Consider the following 22251-nt stretch of genomic DNA (forward strand, 5'->3'; position numbering starts at 1 on the left):
AATGCAATTGTTAGTGCCAATTAAGGAGGGATGTTTTCCCTCAGTCTACCTTTATCATCCTTAAGAATGTGTCTTCTTCCATATTTTGTGCTTACAATATTTCATGTTTTAGCCTGATGGAATATAGTTTAAGATTAGTTACTTTTCAGAGAGAAAGAGAATATTATTTACAAAAGTTGTCTTCATCTTTAAATTTATTTCCAGTTCTGGCATTATTTTCTCAGAATACATTTCCAATATATATTTTATGGAAAACACATTTTTAAATAATGGTATCAGCCCCAACATAATTTTTACAGGACATGTGGCATAAAAGTACAGGAACATGTTCAGTGCAACCTTTGGCTGTGCAGACCTAGGCTCTGAGGGAACAGGGTGTATGACTCCTCTTTATTATTAGTGCTGATAACATGTAAAAATGATTATTTCAAATTTGCTTGATAATAATGCTATTTAAATATAACTATCTTGAAAACTTACGGGAGATAACTGTATACCTTAAGATACCCTTAAACATATTATTTCTCTTGCCAACACTGGTAATTTAATTTTTCTATTTCAAGTAATGATTTCAATTAAGGGGAAAGTGAAATACAAAGAATAGAAGTTCATTTGCTCCTTTATAATATTATTCAAGGTGCAACTGAGAACAAAAGTCTAAAACTCTTTTTTTTAAAATGCCATCTTGATTTTATTTAATTCTAAGAATGCAATTTTAAAATGTAACTACATATGGTGAATATGAATATTTTTCAATTAACTTTTTAAAAGAGAATATTTCACTGAATAACAAATAAGCACATAGTTCTGGCTAATTTACGTAATTGTATGTGTTTGGTTGCCCAATATACACTATATTTGTGTTATTTAGAATAAATTACAAATATACAATTCCTATATAGGCAGTTTATAATTTATATAAAGATTTTACATATGAACAGGCATCTAAAAGATAGCCACCAAATAATTTATAAAAAGAATTAAAGTATTAAGCATGAGAAATATAAGGTGTTATACAGTCCTATTATAAAAGCTTACAGTAATCACATATTAGTAGCCCGATTTTTGACAGAATTCCCAGGCTTATGATCTCCTTGCATGTCTAGTAGCATAATTTTAAATGCATGAAAGCTTTATTTTAGAGTTAGAAGCTGAAGGAGCTTATTGTAAGGATAATAGACTTAGGGAGAATTAAGGGTGCTTAGTTATACTTTGGAACTTGAAGAATCCATAGCTTTGATATACATTAGGATATATGACCCAACTATTATCTTCCAGGCATGACATATGTGCTGGAAATAACAGAGTACTAGCAGAATGTGAGAATTGGTAGACATGAAGTATAAACCTGTCCAGTAATTCACTTTCTTGATGATGTGAAAAACAGAGTGATTGTGGTTTCCACAGACATGCAGAACTATGATAAGAAAATAAGAAATATTAGAGGAAAATATTATCCTCTAAAAACAAACAAACATCATAGAGAGTCTGGGCTTCGGGTCACAGCCTTTAGCCTTAAGACCAGACTTGTATAAAACCTAGAGTTAGGATTGTTAACCATTTTTTATGTGACTGACAACCAGCCTCTGAATGTGTTTTGCAATAGCAAAATATCTATCTGCTACTACTATCTGTGAATAATCCCTATGTGTGATTATTTTAATCACCCAAAATTACATATAGATAGATGGATAGATATACATATTGCATTACTATATGAAAATAAAAATGCTGTCTTGAATTGCTGATTGGAAAACAAATATGCAGTTATCTCCATTAGGAATTTCAGGTTTTTAGCAACTGAAACATATTATTATAAACATGGGTTTCATGAAATTGCTCTTCTTGTGCTTTATGTTTGAATAAAATTGTATCTCTTAATTTGCTCACCTTTTTCTTTAATAAATGCAATAAATAAATAATATCTGCAGAAACTTACATAATGTAGGTAATAATAGAAGTAAAATAACACAATTGAGACTCTCATTTTATGCCTCATAGTAGCCTTACAACCAGAACAAAAGCTTTCTAAAACAACTAGAAATTTCAGTTAACATACAATTAAATGCATAGATACATTTTTAATAAACTGAAGAAAAAATTATATGGTATAAAAATGAAGAGGATCATGAAACTAGAGCAACAAGAAAGACTCACCCTTTCTGATATCATGTGCTGATATGAGTGATATTGTTTGGATATTTGTCCCCCCACAAACCTCATGTTGAAATGTGATTTCCAGTGTTGTAGGTAGGGCCTGGTACGAGGTGACTGGATCGTGGGAGCAGATCCCTCATGAATGGTTTAGCACCATCCTCTTGGTGATATCTGACTTCTTGTTCAGTTAGTTCACACAAGATCTGGTTGTTTAAAAGATTCTGGGGCCAGGCGCAGTGAATCACCCCTGTAATCCCAGCACTTTGGAAGACCGAGGCAGGCAGATCATCTGAGGCTGGGAGATCGAGACCAGACTGGACAAAATGGTGAAACTCTGTCTCTAGTAAAAATACAAAAATTAGCCAGACGTGGCGGTGCACACCTGTAATCCCAGCTACTCGGGAAGCTGAAACGGGAGAATTGCTTGAATCTGGGAGGTGGAGGTTGCAGTGAGCCGAGATCTGGCCACTGCACTCCAGCCTGGGTGACAGAGTGAGACTCTGTCTCAATAAAAATAATATTATAATAATAATAATAATAATAATAAAATAAAATTTAAAAATAAAAATATAAGATTCTGGGATGGCCCTCTTTACTGTCTCTTGCTCTCTTTTGCCACGTGACATGCTCATTTCCCTTTTCCTTCTGCAATGATTGTAAGCTTCCTGAGGCTCTCACCAGGAGCAGATGCAGGAACCCTGCTTCCTCTACAGCCTGTAGAACTGTGAGCCAAAATAAACCTTTTTCTTTACAAATTATCCAGTCTCTGGTATTTATTTATAACAATGCAAGAACACACTAACACATATGAATACATACGATTGTTGTGTCTTGATGGATTTTTGGGCCAGGAGATAAGGGCTTGAAACTGAGAAGAGTGGGAGTTAAAACTCAACCCTTACACACAGTAAGGCCCTATATCCTCAATGAAATGGTAAACTAGGAATAATATGTTTGTCATCAAAGAAAGTCTTCGGTAAAACTTTTCTATATCTGCCTGGGGTCTAGGTATATATGTATAGTAAGCAGAATCTTAATGTTTCTCTCATGATCTCCACTCACTGATGCTATACCCATGATTATATTACACAGCAAATGGTATTTTGCAAATAAAAATAGGATTAATAAAAGGTTTAACTTACAATTGGATGGTTATCTGCTGCTTCAGTTTGTTGCATAAGGGAAAGTCATAGATATTTAAAGCATGAGAGGAATATGATGCATGGGAGGTTTTTTATTTCTGAGATGAAGGGCCATGTGGAAAGGACTTGAGAGAGGCCTCTAGTTGCTGACAGTCATCCCCAGTCAACAGGTAACATAAAAATAAAAACTTCTGTCCTACCACTTCAAGAAAACAAATTTTGCAAAAAATCTGATGGTGCTTACAAGTAGATCTTCCTTAATTGAGCCTTCAGATAAGACCATAGCCCAGCAGAAATTTTGACTTCAGTTTTTTAAGACTCTAAAAAGAGAATCCAGTGAAAACATGCTGGATTTTTGAAACATGGGAACTATGACAAAACAAACTTTTGTTATTTTAAGCCAGTAAGATTTTGGTAATTTTATATGCAGCAATATAAATCTAATACACCTACTTACCTCAGTCATGAGAAAAGTGATTCCTGCATTTTCCTATGGGATAATATGGACATTAGTAAATAGTGTTTGGACAACTAGTTGACTTCATACCTCCTGTACATTAAGAAATATACCACTAGATGAAATATGTGAATGCAACCAAAAAAAAAAAAGCCAATGCATGTATTAGGATAAAAATTTGTATAATCTTTTGTGGAAAAGGTCTTTCTAATTATGACACAGTATATTAAAAAAATCATAAATTAACTACATAAAAATAATGAAAATTGTTTTATGGTTAAAAAAAATACCCCACCAAAGCACACTAAAAAGATAAAATCTTTGTAAATTTTATACCATAAGTTATCTATGTATCTATTATCTATCTGTCCATCCATCCATCTGTCCATCGATATGTCAGAGAAATAAAAAAAAACAGACACAACCCAGTAAAAATATAGGCAAATGGCATAAACCATTATAAAAAATGTGCAATCATCCCTTAAACATATAAAACAGTTGTGAAATTTTTATTGCTGGTATTGAAAGGTAATTTAAAGCTTTATTGAAATAACCCTCTTATCTATGAGATTAACAAAAACACACAAGCTTGACAATACACAATGTTGTTGAAACTGTAGAAAAATAGGATCTTTCACACTGTTTTATGGGGCATAAAATGTTATGATCCCCTAGGAAACAATTTCAAAAGAACTGTCAAAATTGCAAATGCATTTACCCCAAATATTCTACAAGAATGCCTATAAAATACATATGAACCAGGTTTGTTATTGTAATAGCAAAATGGGAAAATTTGGGGAAAAAACCAACTGAATATCTATGGTATACTGGTTTAAAATTATAGTACATCCATATAATGCAGTTGCTAAAGAGAATAACAAATCTTACCATGTACTGTTGGGGATAAATACAAAATATGTTGTTCTACAGCAAAATGTATGTGAGAAATGGGGAAGAACAATTGTGTATTCATTTTGTGCTTGCCTTCTATAAGAAATTTTATAAGGAAATACAAAAACATTATTAAAAGCGGTTATCTATAGGGATTGAGAAATACTTTAGATGTGGAAAAGAAGGAAGCGTAGTAGTAGACATTTTGCTACCTGTATTAGTTTGTTCTCAAGTTGCTATAAAGAAATACCTGAGACTGGGTAATTTACAAAGAAAAGAGTTTTAATTGGTTCATGGTTCCAAAAGCTGTATAGAAAGCATGGAGGCTTCTGCTCAACTGGGCAGGCCTCACGGAGCTTTCAATCGTGGTGGAAGGCAAAGGGGAAGTGAGTCACTTCATATGGCCAGAGCAGGAGGAAAAGAAAGGCGGGGAGTTGCCACACACTTTCAAACAACCATGTCTGGTGAGAAATGTATCACCAGAACAGCACCAAAGGGAAAACTCAACCCATAATCCAATCACTTCCCATCAGGCCCCACCTTCAACATTGAAGGTTACTATTCCACATGAACTTTGGGTGGGGACACAGATCCAAACCGTAACATTCCACCCTTAGCTCCTCCCGAATCTCATGTCCTTTTAACATTGCAAAATCCAGTCATGCCTTCCTAACAGTCCCCCAAAGTCTTTACTCCTTCTAGCATTAATCCAGAGTCTAAAGTCTCATCTGAGACAAGGCTAATCCTTTCACCTATGAACCTGTAAAAAATAAAAACAAGCTAGTTACTTCCAAGATACAATGGAGGAATGGGCATTGGGTAAAAATTTCCATTCCAAAAGGAAGAAATCAGTGAAAAGAAAGGGGTTACAGGCCCCATGCAAGTTCAAAACCCATCAGGGCAGTCATTAAATATTAAAGCTTTAAAATAATCTCCCTTGACTTCATGTCTCACATGAAGCCCTGTAAGATTGCTTAGCTTAGAGTCAGAGAAGTTAATGTCCTCAAGGGCAACTCTCAATCATCAGCAAAAAATTCTGAGGCATATTCCACACTGTGTCATAGAATTTTCAGCAGAAATAAGCCCTAGCTTCCCACATAAGTTATCAGCCCAATAATGCACCATTTATTCTTTTATCATCCTTACCCCAAAATGCTATCATTTAATCCTCCTTCTTGTTTAATGAACTCAATTCCCATAATAAATTGCCTGCAGTGATTGACTTTTCTCCAGATCCACATTTAAACTATTAACAACAAATATTTCAGTGTATATAATTTTATATTGTTTTGATATTTTAACTATGTGACTATAATACCTATTTTTGAAAGTCTGAAATGCAAATATTGGCTCTAATGTGGAGCTAACAGAGTTCTTAGAAATTCATTAGGGGAATTAAATTATTTATGAAAATTTTGAAAATAACTTGGCAAATTCTATTTAAGTGTAAGATATACATATCATCACAATTTCAGTCCTAGAGAGCCCTCACATACATGTTCAGGAATACATATTCAACAATGTCCATATCAGCATTTTGACAATGACAAACAAGAGTAGCCTGAATGTACCATAGTCAACAAATTCTGGAACAGTCATAAAATTGAATTCTATTTAACAGTAAAAATGAAGGAACTAGTGCTGCAACTATAAATGTAGATGACTCTTAAAAACATTGCTATGTAAAAACATATTGCAGGAAAATTCACCAACCATTCTACACATTAAAAGTTAAAGCATGAAAAACATGCCACTTGTTGTTCAGGGTGTGAAAGGAAAATATCTTGGGCCCCAAAACTCGCTAAGCTAAAGGGAAGCAGCTGAGAACTGCTTAGGGCAAACCTGCTTCCGATTCGATTCAAAGTTATCCCTCCGTTCACTGAGATAAATCCTATCTGATTGCTTCCTTTGGAAAGGCTAGTCAGAAACTCAAAAGAATGCAACTGTTTTTCTCTCACCTATCTGTAACCTGGAAGCCCCCTCCCCATTTCAAGTCTTCCTGGCTTTGCTTCCAGTTGTCACTTCTTTCCAGACAGAACCAATGTACTTCTTACATATATTGCTTGATGTCTCCTATCTCGCTAAAATGTATAGAACCAAACTTTGCCCAACCACCTTGGACATATGTCATCAGGACTTCCTGAGGCTGTGTCATGGACATGCATCCTCAACCTTGGCAAAATAAACTTTCTAAATTAACTGAGACCTCTCTCAGATTTTCTGCATTCACATTTTGTTAACCACGGCGGGGATTCTGAGTGGAGATGCCCCCGACCTTTGACAAATCTCTTACTGCCGCTTGATGAGCTAACTTTACGGCTCAAACCAATAGGAAACGTTGCTGAGGTCTGAGAGCAACCCCTCCAGACAATCCCTGATCTCCCCAAATTTGGTCAAGATCTAAAGTTTATTTTGCTGTACAACTCCACTTTTTTGGGGAGTTTTACTTGCTTTCAACACAAGGAAGGCAAGTTTTTCTGCTTCCATGATGATGAAAGGCAGGCAACACCTGTGTGGAGTTTGAGCTCGCTTCCAACAGGGAAGATGAGGGTGTGTGTGTGTGTGTGTGTGTGTGTGTGCTTCTAGGATGGTAGAGAGCAGGAGAGCAGGAGAGCAGTCTGGCAGTCTACAGCCTGAGACCCATCCCTAGGTAAGTAACTGAATTAGGGTTTGTTTTGGCTAAAGGTAAGATTGACCACCAGATGGTCTTAATTTCTCCTTACTATTAGAGCACTCAGCAATCATATAAGTTGTGCAATCATTTGTATTGCTTACCTGTTTCTGTTGTTGTTGTTATTGTTGTTTGTTTGTTTCTGTTTTTGTTGTTATTTCAGTCTTTTTGATACTTGGTGCTTCTGAAATAGCAGCAATTTGTCCTAGCTGAAACATAGTACTGAGATTTTAAAATGTTTTTTAAAGGAGCTCAATGGTTAAAAGTCAGCTTAATTAAAAGCTAGCATCCCAAGTGTGTATGTGTGCATGAGTGTGTTTGTATTTAAAAGGCCTTCATGTTTTTGTTTCTGTTTTTCTCTTTTAAGACCTTGTCTTTTTTTTTTTTTTTTTGAGCAAAAGATTTTTTTCTTCTCAGTTGACTGAATTCTGTTTTCACCTGATTTTTTGACTAAAATAGTTATTGCAACAGGGGCTACTCTTGGGTTTTTAATGAAGAGTGTACTTTAGACACTCAGAAATGTCTTTGTTAAAAAAATTAAGTGCACTGTAAAAGCGTCTCTAGCACCACCAGACTTTTTCTCTCTGTACCTTATAATGTAAATTTTGCTATTTAACTTTCACCTGAGTTGTTTCCTTTAATATGCAAATTTAAGGCTATTTAGCTAACAACCACCCAGTGTTGTAAAATAGGTTATCAAGAATCTAAAAGTCTAAGATAGAAAAAAAGGATCTTTATGAATCTATAATATGTGCTTTCATACGTCTATGTATTTATGTGTTGTTTACACAATGTTTCACTGCTGAAAATATATAAAAGGCCTCTAATTAATTGGCTTAAAGAAAAATAAAAATGTTTAAATCAAATATTGCATCAGGAAAAAAGAAAAGACTAGTCAAATGCTTTTTCAAGTTTATGTAACTTAAGTCTTTAATAAATAAGCTAGCTTTAGAATGATTGGTAAAGTAATATTAGAAATGTCTTAAGAATTGACACCATACATTTTTTGTTTGCATTTATTAATCAGGCAATTTCATACTTATTCCTGCCAAATACCATAAGGTGTCAAAATAAACTCTCTAAATTACCTGAGCCCTGTCTCAAAATTTGGGGTTTTGAGGGACACCTACAAGTGCAGTGAAATATGAAGAAAGTTATGTTAATGACAATCACCAAATTATAGTGATCACTTCTAGAGAAAAGGGAAAGTAATAAACTGAAAAACATTTATACTATAAATTTCAACACCATTGCAAGATTTAATTTTTTAAGCTGAGTTGTATGTATAATGATATTCTTTATATTATTATTTATGTCTTCTATAGGCTTTGACTATTTCACGATCAATTCAAAAATTTAAAAATATGCAAAATGATTATAGTAAATTTTTAAAGAATCTTTGCAGTAAGTATATTTCTGCCACTTTTTTGAAACTTTTCCTAAAGTTTTTTTCTTGTAACTTGTACCTTTTTGAGGAGCGTTTTCGAGGCAATATCCCTTTGCTGGAATACTAATTAGTGAGTATTTTATTCATTCTCATCTATCCATCTATAATTGATATGGTTTAGATTTATGTTCCCACCCAAATCTCATGTCAAATTGTAATCCCCAATGTTGGAGAAATGGCCTGATAGGAGGTGATACAATCATGGGGGCAGATTTTTGCCCTTGCTGTTCTGTGATAGTGAGTGAGTTCTCATAAGATCTGGTTGTTTAAAAGCTTGTAGCACCTCTTTCCCACCTTCTTCCTGCTCTGTCCATGTAAGACATTCCTGCTTACCCTTCTGCCATAATTGAAAGTTTTCTGAAACTTCCCCAGTTATGCTTCCTATACAGCCCATGGAACTGTGAGCCAATTAAACCTCTTTTCTTTATAAATTACCCAGTTTCAGATATTTATTTTTAGCAGTGTGAGAACAGACTAATACAATGATAATAGAAATCTCTTCATCTATGAAATCTCCCCATATCTGATGATATTAAGTAAAAATAGTTTAATCCATTTTTCGTAAGTTGCTATAAGTTTATTTTGAAAACCAAGTATTAGTTTCAGGCCATTTTCTGCCATATGCTTTCTATAGAAAGAGCATTAAATAACTACATGTACAATGAGTAAATGATTGAAAACTTTTTATAGAGATATAACCAAGTCATTTCTTATTGTTAAGTATTGACAGTAAACAATTCTATAAATAATTACTATATAATAAAAAACTGAAGGAAAACTCAAAAGACTTTTTATTTATGTAAAAGAAGAATTTTAAAAATTTGTGGACATGCTGTCTCATTGACCATAAACACTAAACAAAAGTTATTTCTTATTTTTAAATAATTTAACAGCTTTTTCAACCCACCATTTCTATTAGAATGCTAAATTTCTCAAAAATAGGAATAAATCAACATCAGAGTTTTATAAATCAACATCAGAGTTTTATAAATCAGAGTGTCTTGGTACTCTACAAATTAGTATGCTTAATATACAACTTGAAGTCCTTCAGAGAAAATATTAAACAGAAATGCCTTCTACCCAGTGATATGAATGTGCATTTGCAATAATAAAGAAGAGACTAAAAATTGTATAGCAATACCTAGTATCTGACCAATATATTATTTCATAAAAATAATAAAGTATCTTGCATCATACATGGAAGACAGTGACTTATTCCTGAATCTACTATATCTACAGTCTTTCTTGTACCAAATATTTACTATAAGTACATACAACTATGGAAAATGCTATGCTATGCCTTTGAGAGGCAGAGTACTGTAGAAATCTACACTTATTAAGAGCACAGTATTTTACTCTTTTCCCTTTTCTATGACATCTCTTCACTAGTCCCCTTCTTTCTATGTGTGTGTGTGTGTGTGTGTGCGTGTGTGCGTGTATTTATTTTATTGTGTCTATTTCAGTCAGCTAGGCTTCAAATGTAATCATTGTCTATCACATGTTCAATTTATTTGAGGCGTGAAGTTTTCCCAGGACACTAAAGCAAGAGGCACCTTAGGAACTGAAGCAGAGTAACTAATGCAGAGTTCTCCTCAGACATCAGAAATAATTATGACATCGTAGTTTTATGTCAAACTATATAATAAAAAAATTAAAATCTTTTTCTGGACTGTCCTGGGTAGTGTTAACAACATGACAGCTATTCCCTCTGTACACACTTAGCTGAGCAGAACTAGTTGAAGCATTAATTGTTGTTATCACAGCAGCATGGTTAACATGCTCATAAATATTATCTTGGCAACAGATTAAAAATAAAAAGGCCAGAAATTATGTTGTAAAAGTATTAACAATTTTAATAAGCCTAAAGGTGGTCAATCTGCCAACCGGGATATTACATCTTCAAATATATTCAAATACTAGTAATGGCATGGATATTTGGTACATTAAACAATCTAAATTTCACTTGGTTTACCATGTCAAATAGAAAATAAAAGAAATGAGTTATGTCTCCTCTATTTCCAGAAGAGGATTGATGGAGCTACACTAGCCAGCAGATAATTTGCATGCAGCACCACTACCATCAGATTACAAAAAAAAAAAAAAAAAAAAAAAACAAAAACCAGAAGCATGATAATTAAAAGAGATCCAAGGATATCAATGACAATTATAAAATATTGTTTTAAAATATGCTGTTAAGGCTCCCCAGGTAATGGACTGCTTCCCTTAGTTTCTGGCAATTTACCAGAATGCATTCCAAAGCATTTGATAAACCGGTAGTGCAAAGTATGTTATTCCTAGACAGTTGAGAACTCAGTTAATTAGAGCCTCCAGAATAAATGGGTCCCTGAGTAGTTGCTTTGTAAACCTATTGTTATTAATCTGATCTTCCTTATAGCCACTTATACATTAAATTGCTTATATTTCATTGACGCTATCTATCTTGAATATTTTGGAGAGATAACTGTTCTATATGTATTATTATTAATTAAATATTATTCCATACATTTTCCTTTACAAATATCACTCCATGTTAGATGTCACTAATTTAATAGCTTGGCAGTATAATTATATTGAGTTGAGGAATAAATACCACAAAATTTCTGATCAATCAACCTGAAAGTTCCATAAATGTCTTTGTCACTTATCAACAGTGAGAGTAGCTTAGTAATCACTTCTCTAAAATATGTTTTTATCTAAATTTATTTCCCTGCTCACTTTTTGCCCTCAACCTTCATGTTTTATAGTTACAGATGACAGTTTGCAAAACAAATTTAAATTTATCCTATCAAAAAAATTGTAATTAATAATGAATGCTTACAATTTGTATGGCATAATATTTATTGCTTTATGTGTGTTGTATCTCCTTTAGTCATCAACATAACTATATGAATTGTACTACACTTTACATATATTAAAAAATAGAAAGTTTGGGAGGCCAAGGTGGTTGGATCACCTGAGGTCAGGAGTTCGAGACCAGCCTGGCCAACATGGCGAAACCCCATCTCTACTAAAAGTATAAAAATTAGCTGGGGGTGTGGCGGGAGCCTGTAATCCGAGTTACTCTGGAGACTGAGGCAGGAGAGTCACTTGAACCCGGGAGGCAAAGGTTGCAGTGAGCTGAAATCGCACCATTGCACTCCAGCCTGGGCGACAAGAGTAAACTCCGTCTCAAAAAAAAAAAAAAAAAAAAAGAGGCAATGAACAGCGATTTGCTTGAATTCACGCAGTCTGATAAAGTAAGGATTTGAACTTTGGTCTTTATAACTCTGAAGTACACATCACTAGTGCCAAAAACAGTAAAATGCTACTATTTTTAAAAAGCTTATTTCACCATGAGAGAGATAGAAACTCTATTCAAATACCATATTTACTGATACAAATAAAACAAAATAATTATTTTTTAGACATGAAGTTAAAAAATACTGTCATGCCAAACCTCTATCATTTAATTTTAATTTGTTTTGCAGATATAGTTAGAAAAATAACTTAGAAAGAAAAAGAAGCCTATGCCAAATTTACTGGAAAAATTCAGTGATGAGCTAAAAGTGATCCTGAATTACCCAGCACTTCAGTCCTATACAGAAAGCTATGTGTGTCACAGACAGCAGTATTATTTTTGGTAGTAAAGCTTAGCAAGCAGATAGGGTTATTATACAGAATACAAAATCAAAGCCAAGACCGTTAATTTAAAAAAAATACATTTTGGCAAAAATGTGTAAATCTTTCCAAGCATTATTAATCAAATTATTAAACAGTACTAATGCTATTTATTATATCAGCAAGGAAGATATTTACAATGATTACTAAAATTCTAATGAAAAAGACCTATTAGTCAGTCATCCTCCCTAGCACTTGCTTTAGAAAGTACAAATATGTAATATAGGCCAGGTGTAGTGGCTTATGCCTATCTTCCCAGCACTTTGGGTGGCCAATGTTGGAGGATCACTTGAGGTCATGAGTTAGAGACCAGCCTAGGAAACAAAGTGAGACTCTATCTCTGCAAAAAAATTTTAAAAATTAGCCAAGTGTGATGGCAAACACCTGTAATCCTAGATACTCAGGAGCCTGAGGTAGGAGAATTGCTTGAGCTCAGTAGTTCGAGGCTGCAGTAAGCCATAATGGCATGCCACTGCACTCCAGCCTGGGTGACAAAGCAAGACTTTGTCTCAAAAATTTATAATAATAATAATACAGGCTATTTTAAATGGCATTGAAACAGACACACACACACACACACACACACACACACACATATGTTGTAAGGTTAAGTTTGATTTTAATATTTCATTATTGGGAATAAAAAAATTTTAAAGCATGTATTAATTTACCCAGGAAATGTATTAATTTTATATAACACAGTCATCATTCAATTACAAATATATAAATCAGTAGAGAAACCAAGATTGCAGGTGATACACACACACACACACACACACACACACACACACATATGTGTGTGTGTGTATATAAAGAATCTTTGAAGCCTCGGTTGAGTTACATTTTTGTGTACGTAATTGGAAATTTTTCTTACATATTAAGCAGACCACCAGTGACATCTTTTGAAACTAAGTTCAACATCGTCAAATATTTATGAACACTCCCTATATGCAAAGCACTATACTAGCTACTGGAGATAAAAAGAGTCATAAGGCCTATACCTAATATTTTTATGCCTTGAGAGGAGACCATAATTTAGACCTTTCATAGCACTTACACTGATTTCCTTGTATTTACTTCAAATTAATAAAGGTTTCTCCATGGAGTATATAACACTAAAATACTTAGATTTAGCTGCAAGTCATAAAATTATTTGCTTAAGCAAAATTTTTTTTAGATTTCCATATTTCTGTTGAACCTGAATTTTGAACAGTTGAACTGTTTTATTGGAAAGAAAAGAGACACTTTATTGTATTTCTTAACCTGAAATTTTCAAAGACAACCTATAATGATGTAGTATCAAAGAAGTGGACAAAATTCTACACCTCTAGCCATAATTTTAGAAATGGCTATTAGAACTAGTTTTTTTACTCCTATTAATAATTGAGAAACTATAAATGAACTATATTTCAAAGTTAGCATGGATTGAGATATATTAAGACTGGAATGAGTGCACTCGAAAAATATGTGTTGGTTTCAATAAACAAGACTTTCTTGAAAGCCTATGGATAATGTATCCTTTCATATATGACATTCTAAGCTTAGTAAATTTTCTAGTGCTATAGAAATAGAATAGTTTTATCTACAGGAAGCATTCATTTAAACAATAAAACCATATTACAAAGTTAAAAATAAATGTAATTTTCACAATACTTTCACTATACTCACTAACATTTATATCCAACTTACTATAGCAAAAGGGCTCATTCATGAATAAGTAATATGACTGCACATCCTATTTACATACTGTCAATCCTCAGATTCCTGAAGATAAGAATTAGATTACTCAATACATAACAACATAGCAGCACCTCTTTCCATTGCAAGCTTTGTATAAGCTTCATTTTAATTAAGGGATAATAGCTCTGACATTAATTTCACTTAGTTTCTTTATTATGTAGCTAAGATCAGAGAAAACAATGTCATAGACAGCAGTATTATTTTTGGTAGTAAAGCTTTGCAAACAGTGATTATACAGAATACAAAATTGAAGCCAAGACCGTTAACAAAACAATTTTATTAGACTGGGCGCTGTGGCTCATGCCTGTATTCCCAGAACTTTAGGAGGCTGAAGCGGGCGGATCATCTGACGTCAGAAGTTTGAGACCAGTCTTGCCAACATGGTGATACCCTGTCTCTACTAAAAATACAAAGTTAGCTGGGCTTGGTGGTGCGCACCTGTAATCCCAACTACTCAGGAGGCTGAAGCAGAAGAATCGCTTGAACCTGGGAGGCGGAGGTTGTAGTGAGCCGAGATGGTGCCATTGCACTCCAGCCTGGGCAAAAAGAGTGAAACTCCATCTCAAAAAAAAATAAATAAATAAAATAAAAACAATTTTATTTTTTTCTCCAAGAAGAAGGTGCTGAACTTTCCATTTACAAGCCAACTAGAGCCACAAGATGATGCACTTCTTGAAGTACAGGCATGCCTTTTTTTCATTGTGCTTCATTTTATTGTCCTTCACTGATACTGTGTTTTTTTAGAAACTGAAGGTCTGTGGCAACTCCGCATCCAATAAGTTTATCAGTGCCCTTTTTCCAAAAGCATGTGCTCACTTTATGTCTTTGTATCACATTATGATAATGATTGTGTGAATCCAAAATATCCAAGAGAGATTTCAATCAATTTAGAATGTTTATTTTACTAAGGTTAAGGACGCACCCATAACATAGCCTCAGGAGGTCTTGAAGACATGTGCCCAAGGTGGTCAGGGTACAGCTTGCTTTTATGCATTTTAGGGATACATGAGACATTAATCAATACATGTAAGATTTACATTGGCTCTACCTGAAAGGCTGGGTCAACTCAAAGGAGAGGGGGATCCTAGGTCATAGTAGATTTAAAAATTTTCTGATTGGCTATTGGTTGAAAGAGTTATCAGTAGAAAGGAATGTCTGGGTTAAGATAAGGAGTTATGGAGACCAAGGTTTTATCATGCCTTGATAAAGTCTCTGGGTAGCATGATGAAGCCTCTGGGTATCAGGCTTCGGAAAGAATAGATTGTAAATGTTTCTTATCAGACTTAAGCTCTGTGTTGATGTTAATTCTGGAGGTGCAAAATGAGGCATGTCCAACCCCACTTCCCATCATGGCCTAAACCAGTCTTTCAGATTAAATTTAAGAATGCCCTGGCCAAGAAGGAAGTCCACTCAGGTGGTTGGGGAGCCTTAGAATTTTATCTTTGATTTATACTTCCAGCATTTCCAATTTTTAATTATTATTATACCTGTTACTGTAAAGAACATGGCTGTGCTCCAGCCAAGAAGGCTTAGGGCAGCAGGCATAGGCTGAGGTAAACAACCTGGATGATGCAGTGGGTTTGTGGCACACACACACAGTCCCGGGACTTATATAACCATAGCCATGTAGACATAACATGGAGAAAGCTCACTTCCATAGCCATAACATAGAGAAGCTGACCACTTAGCTCTCAGCTACTATTGTTTGTGTAATGTATAAAAGTAACACTGACCCTGTGAGGGGCTGCTGAATAAAGCCATGTCTCATCTACCTGCTGTCTCTTGAGTGTTCGTCCAGCTCCCTGCCCCACAACCTTCCATTCCCCTCAGCCCTCAGCTGGGGCTGGAACCAGAGTATGAGAGTTATGGTGACCTGTGATCACTGATATTTGATGTTGCTATTGTAATTGTTTTGGGGTGTCACAAACAACACACATACAAGATGGTAAACTTAATAAATGCTGTGTGTTTTCTGATTGCTGCACCAACCATCCCTTGTCCTATCTCTCTCTCTTTCTGTCTATGGTCATCCGTACTCCCTGGGACTTAATGATATTAAAATTAGGCCAGTTAGGAACCCTACAATATCCGGTAAGTGCTCAAGTGAAAGGAAGAGTCAGATGTCTCTACCTTTAAATCAAAAGCTAGACATAATTAAGCTTAATGAGGAAGGCATGCAGAAAGCCCAGATAAACCGAAATGTAGGCCCTTATGCCAAACCACCTCGCCAAGTTGTGAATGCAAAGGAAAAGTTCTTGATAAAAATTAAAAATGTTACTCCAGTGAACACACAAATGATAAAATGTGTAAGAGCCTTATTGCTCATATGGAGAAAGTTTTAGTGATCTGGGTGGAAGATCAAACCAGCCACATCATTCCTTTAAGCCAAAGCCTAATCCAGAGCAAGACCCTAATTCTCTTTCAATTCTATGAAGGCTAAGAGATTTGGAGATGCTGCAGAATAAAAGTCTGAAGCTAGCAGAGGTTGATTCATGAGGTTTTAAATAAGAAACTATCTCTATAACATAACAACATAATGTGAAGCAGCAAATGGTAATGTAGAAGCTACAGCAAGTTACCCAGAAGATCCAGCTAAGATAATTGATGAAGGAGGCCATATTAAACAACAAATTTTCAATGTCAATAAAACAGCCTTCTATTGGAAAGTCCTACTGCCATCTAGGACTTCTATAACTAGAGAGGAAAAGTCAATGGCTGGTTTTAAGGCTTCAAAAGAACAGGTTAACTATATTGTTAGGTAATAGCGTATCTGGTGGCTTTATGTTGAAGTCAATGCTCATTTAACATTCCAAAATCTTATGGCTATAAGAATTATGCTAAATCTACTCTGTATTTGCTCTATAAATATATCAACCAAATCTGGATTACAGCACATCTGTTTATGGCATAGTTTACTAAATTATTTTTGAGACAGAGTCTCACACTGTTGCCCAGGCTGGAGTGCAGTGGCGCGATCTCAGCCCACTGCAAGCTCCGCCTCCCAGGTTCACGCCATTCTCCTGCCTCAGCCTCCCGAGTAGCTGGGACTACAGGCACCCACCACCACGCCTGGCTAATTTTTTATATTTTTAGTGGAGACAGGGTTTCACCGTGTTAGCCAGGATGGTCTCGATCTCCTGACCTCGTGATCCACCCACCTCGGCCTCTCAAAGTGCTGGGATTACAGGCATGAGCCACCGTGCCTGGCCCAGTTTATTGAATATTTTAAGCCTACTGTTGAGACCTACTGCCTGAAAAATAAAAACTCTTTGAAAACATTTCTGCTCATCAGTAATAAACATGGTTATTGAAAAGCTCCAATAAAGATGTGGAAGGAGATTAATGTTGTCTTTATTGCCTGCTAACACAATATCCATTCTGAAGCCCATACATCAAGGAGTGATTTTGACTCTCCAAGGCTTATTATTTAAGAAATAAATTTTGTAAGGCTGTAGCTGCCATAGATAGTGATATCTCTCAGTAACTTCGGGAAAGTAAATTGAAAACTTTCTGAAAAGAACCATTATAGATGCCATTAAGAACATTCATGATTTATGGAGTAGGTCAAAATATTAAAATTGTCAAGGGTTCAGAGGAAGCTTGTTCCAGCCCTCATAGGATGACTTTGAGGGGTTCAAGACTTCACTGGAGGAAGTCACTGCAGATGTGGTGAAAACAGCAAGAAAAGTGGAATTAGAAGTGGAGCCTGAAAATGTGACTGAATTGTTGCAATCTCATGATAAAACTTGAATAGGTGAGGAGTTTCTTCTTGTGTTTGAGCCAAAAAAAAATCGTTTCTTGAAATGGAATATAATTTTGGTGAAGATGCTGTGAATATTGTTGAAATGCCAATAAGAGATTTAGAATATTAAACTTAGTTGATAAAGCAGTGGCAGGGTTTGAGAGGATTGACTCCAATTTTGAGAAAAGTTCAACTAGACAGTATCAAATAGCAATGCAATCCAACAGCATTTCATGCTGCAGAGAAATGTTTTTGTGTGTCAATGAATGCTGCAAACTTAATTGTTCTCTTATTTTTAAAAATTGCTGCAGCCACCCCAAACTTCAGCAGCCGCTACTCTGATCAGTCAGCAGCCATCAACATCAAGGCAAGATTCCAGCAAAAAGATTATGACTCATTGAAGGCTCAGATCATTGTTAGCATTTTCTGGCAATAAAGTATTTTTAATTAAAGTATGTATTTTTTTTAGACAAAATGCTATTTAACATTTAATAGACTGCAGTATACTCTAAACATAACTTTTGTATGCACTGCAAAACCAAACAAATTGTGTGAGTTGCTTTATTGCAATCTTCACTTTATTGAGGTGGTCTGGAACCAAACCAATAATACCTCCACGGTATGCCTATATATATTTCTCACTCTATCTTGTTTGCCACAGTTCCAAGAAGTGAAAGTCCTGTAAATAAAAGCAAGCATGCAAGTACGCAGTTTGCTGTAGAAAGTCAATTGAGGTACCATGAAGTACATCAAGCGTCCCTCATTTGCTTTAAGTTGACCACAGGTCTTCAGTTTTTAATGTTCAAATATGTGTACATAAAATATCCACATTCTTCTCCAAGAAATATAGAATGGCTGGAATATAAATGCATTATCACTCTTCCTCTGAAAGACTTTCACATTTTTATAATGTGACTGCTGAAAATGGAAGAGTTTTGTACTTGCATTTCTCCTTAGTTAAAAATCAACTGAAAAAATATGAAACATACATATGATAAGGCACCTACTAAGAATATACCTTGATATTTCAAAATAAAAGCTAAAAGGAAATACATGTAATAGAAAACGTCAAGCTTATGAATATATTCATTCTTGTGTGGTCCTGATATGTTTGTTGAAATTGGTATATTTTTAAGTAAATATCTAAATTGTCACCCCCAAAGCATAATATTCCTATAATACATGAAGAGTTATCACATTTTAGTTGCAAAAGAAACTACTTTTTTGGTAATGGAAGATCTTTACTTAACTACAAATTTTATTTTATAAATACATATAAGATGAATATGGTTTAAAAAGCCACATCATAGATTCCCTATAAATTCTGGATTTTAGACCTCTGTCACATGAACAGTTTGCAAATATCTTTTCTCCTTCCGTAAGTTGTCTTTTTACTCTGTTGATAGTTTATTTTACTGTGCAGAAGCTCTTCAGTTTAATTAGGTCCCACTTGTCAATTTTTGCTTTCATTGCAATTGCTTTTGGGGACTTAGCTAAAAATTCTTTATCAAGGGTAGTGTCAAGAAGAGTATTTTCTTGATTGTCTTCCAGGATTTTTATAGTTCTCAAATTTGAAAGGTCTTAAATTTAAATCTTTCATCTGTTTGGGGTTAATTTTTAGATATTGTGTCCGGAATTGGTGGGTTCTTGGTCTCACTGACTTTAAGAATGAAGCCGCGGACCTTCGCGGTGAGTGTTACAGCTCTTAAGGTGGCACGTCGGGAGTTTATTCCTTCTGATGTTCGGATGTGTTCAGAGTTTCTTCTTTCTGATGGGTTCGTGGTCTCGCTGGCTCAGGAGTGAAGTTGCAGACCTTCGCGGTGAGTGTTACAGCTCTTAAGACAGCGCGTCTGGAGTTGTTTGTTCCTCCTGGTGGGCTCGTGGTCTCGCTGGCTTTAGGAGTGAAGCTGCAGACTTTCGCGGTGAGTGTTACAGCTCATAAAAGCAGTGTGGACCTAAAGAGTGAGCAGTAGCAAGATTTATTGCAAAGAGTGAAAGAACAAAGCTTCCACAGTGCGGAAGGAGGACCTGAGCAGGTTGCCACTGCTGGCTCAGGCAGCCTGCTTTTATTCTCTTATCTGGCCCTACCTACATCTTGCTGATTGGTAGAGCCGAGTGGCCTATTTTGACAGGGCGCTGATTGGTGCGTTTACAATCCCTGAGCTAGATACAAAGGTTCTCCACCTCCTCATCAGATTAGTTAGATACAGAGTTTCCACACACAGGTTCTCCAAGGCCCCACCAGAGCAGCTAGATACAGAGTGTCGATTGGTGCACTCACAAACCTTGAGCTAAACACAGGGTGCTGATTGGTGTGTTTACAAACCTTGAGCTAGATACAGAGTGCCGATTGGTGTATTTACAATCCCTGAGCTAGACATAAAGGTTGTCCAAGACCCCACCAGAGCAGCTAGATACAGAGTGATGATTGGTGCACTCACAAACCTTGAGCTAAACACAGGGTGCTGATTGGTGTGTTTACAAACCTTGAGCTAGATACAGAGTGCCGATTGATGTATTTACAATCCTTGAGTTAGACATAAAGACTCTCCAGGTCCTCACCAGACTCAGGAGCCTAGCTGGCTTCACCTAGTGGATCTCGCACCGGGGCTGCAGGTGGAGCTGCCTGCCAGTCCAGCGCCATGCGCTCGCACTCCTCAGCCCTTAGGTGGTCGAGGGGACTGGGCACCCTGGAGCAGGGGGTGGTGCTCGTCGGGGAGGCTCTGGCCACACAGGAGTCTATGGAGTGGGTGGGAGGCTCAGGCATGGCGGGCTGCAGGTCCTGAGCCCTGCCCTGCGGGAAGGCCGCTAAGGCTCTGTGAGAAATCGAGCGCAGTGCCGGTGGGCTGGCACTGCTAGGGGACCTAGTACACCTTCCGCAGCCGCTGGCCCGGGTGCTAAGTCCTTTATTGCCCGGGGCCAGCAGGGCTGGCGGGCTGCTCCGAGTGCGGGGTCACCAAGCCCACGCCTACCCGGAACTCCAGCTGGCCCGCAAGCGCGGCACGCAGCCCCAGTTCCCGCTCACGCCTCTCCCTCCACACCTCCTTGCAAGCTGAAGGAGTAGGCTCCAGCCTTGGCCAGCCTGGAAAGGGGCTGCCACAGTACAGTAGTAGGCTGAAAGGCTCCTCAAATGCCGCCAAAGTGGGAGCCCAGACAAAGGAGGTGCCGAGAGCAAACAAAGGCTCTGAGGACTGCCAACACGCTGTCACCTCTCAATATGGTTAACAGTAGGCATTCAGCTTCAATCTTCTGCATATAGCTTGTCAGGTATCCAAGCACAATTTATTGAATAGTGGGTCCTTTCACCATTGCTTATTTTTGTTGACTGTTAAAAATCATTTGGTTGTAGGTGTGTGGCTTGACTTCTGGGCTCTTTATTCTGTTACATTGGTCTATGTATCTGTTTTTTTACCAGTGCCTTACTCTTTTGATTACTGTAACCGCATAGTATAGTTTCAAGCTTGACAATGTAATGGCTATGGCTTTGCTCTTTCTGCTTAGGATTGCTTTGGCTATCAGGGCTCTTTTATTAGTTCCATAAGAATTGTAAAATGTGTCTTTTAATTCTATAAAAAATAATGAAGAAAATGTCAGTAGTTTGATAGCAATAGCATTGTGTTAGTCTGCTCTTGTGTTGGTATAAAGAAATACCAAAGGCTGGGTAATTTGTAAAGAAAATCAGTTTATTTTAGATGACGTTTCTGCACTGTACAAGAAGTATGGTCCTGGCTTGTTTCTGGTGAGGTTTCAGGAAGCTTACAACTATAGCAGAAGGCAAAGGGGGAGCTGGTATATCACATGGAAAGAGAGGGAGAAAGGGAGAGAGGTGGAGGTGCTATTCTCTTTTAAACAATCACATCTTGCATGAACTAATAGGATGAGAACTCCCTCGTACCTCAAAGACAGAACCAAGCCATTTATGAGGGATCCTCCTCCATGACCCAAGCACCTCCCACTAGGTTCCACCTCCAACATTGGGAATCACATTTCAACATGAGATTTGAAAAAGACAAAACATCAAAATCATATCAAACATTGAATCTGTACATTTATTTGGGCAGTGTGGCCATTATATTGACTCTTCCAATCTGTGAGCACAGAATGTATTCTCATTTGTTTGTATCATCTGTGATTTATTTCAGCAGTGTTTTGTAGTTCTTTTTGTAGAGATCTTTCACCTCCTAGGTTAAATATATTCCTAGGTATTTTATTTTTCTCTGACTAATGTAAATGAGATTATGTTCTTTCTTTGGCTCTTAGCTTGAACATTACTGGAACATATAAATGCTATTGATTTTTCTACATTGACTTTGTATCCTGAAACTTAACTGAAGTTGTTAATCAGTT

This window comes from Homo sapiens, chromosome X (assembly GCF_000001405.40).
Source record: "Homo sapiens chromosome X, GRCh38.p14 Primary Assembly".
In the NCBI taxonomy this organism is placed as follows: domain Eukaryota; kingdom Metazoa; phylum Chordata; class Mammalia; order Primates; family Hominidae; genus Homo; species Homo sapiens.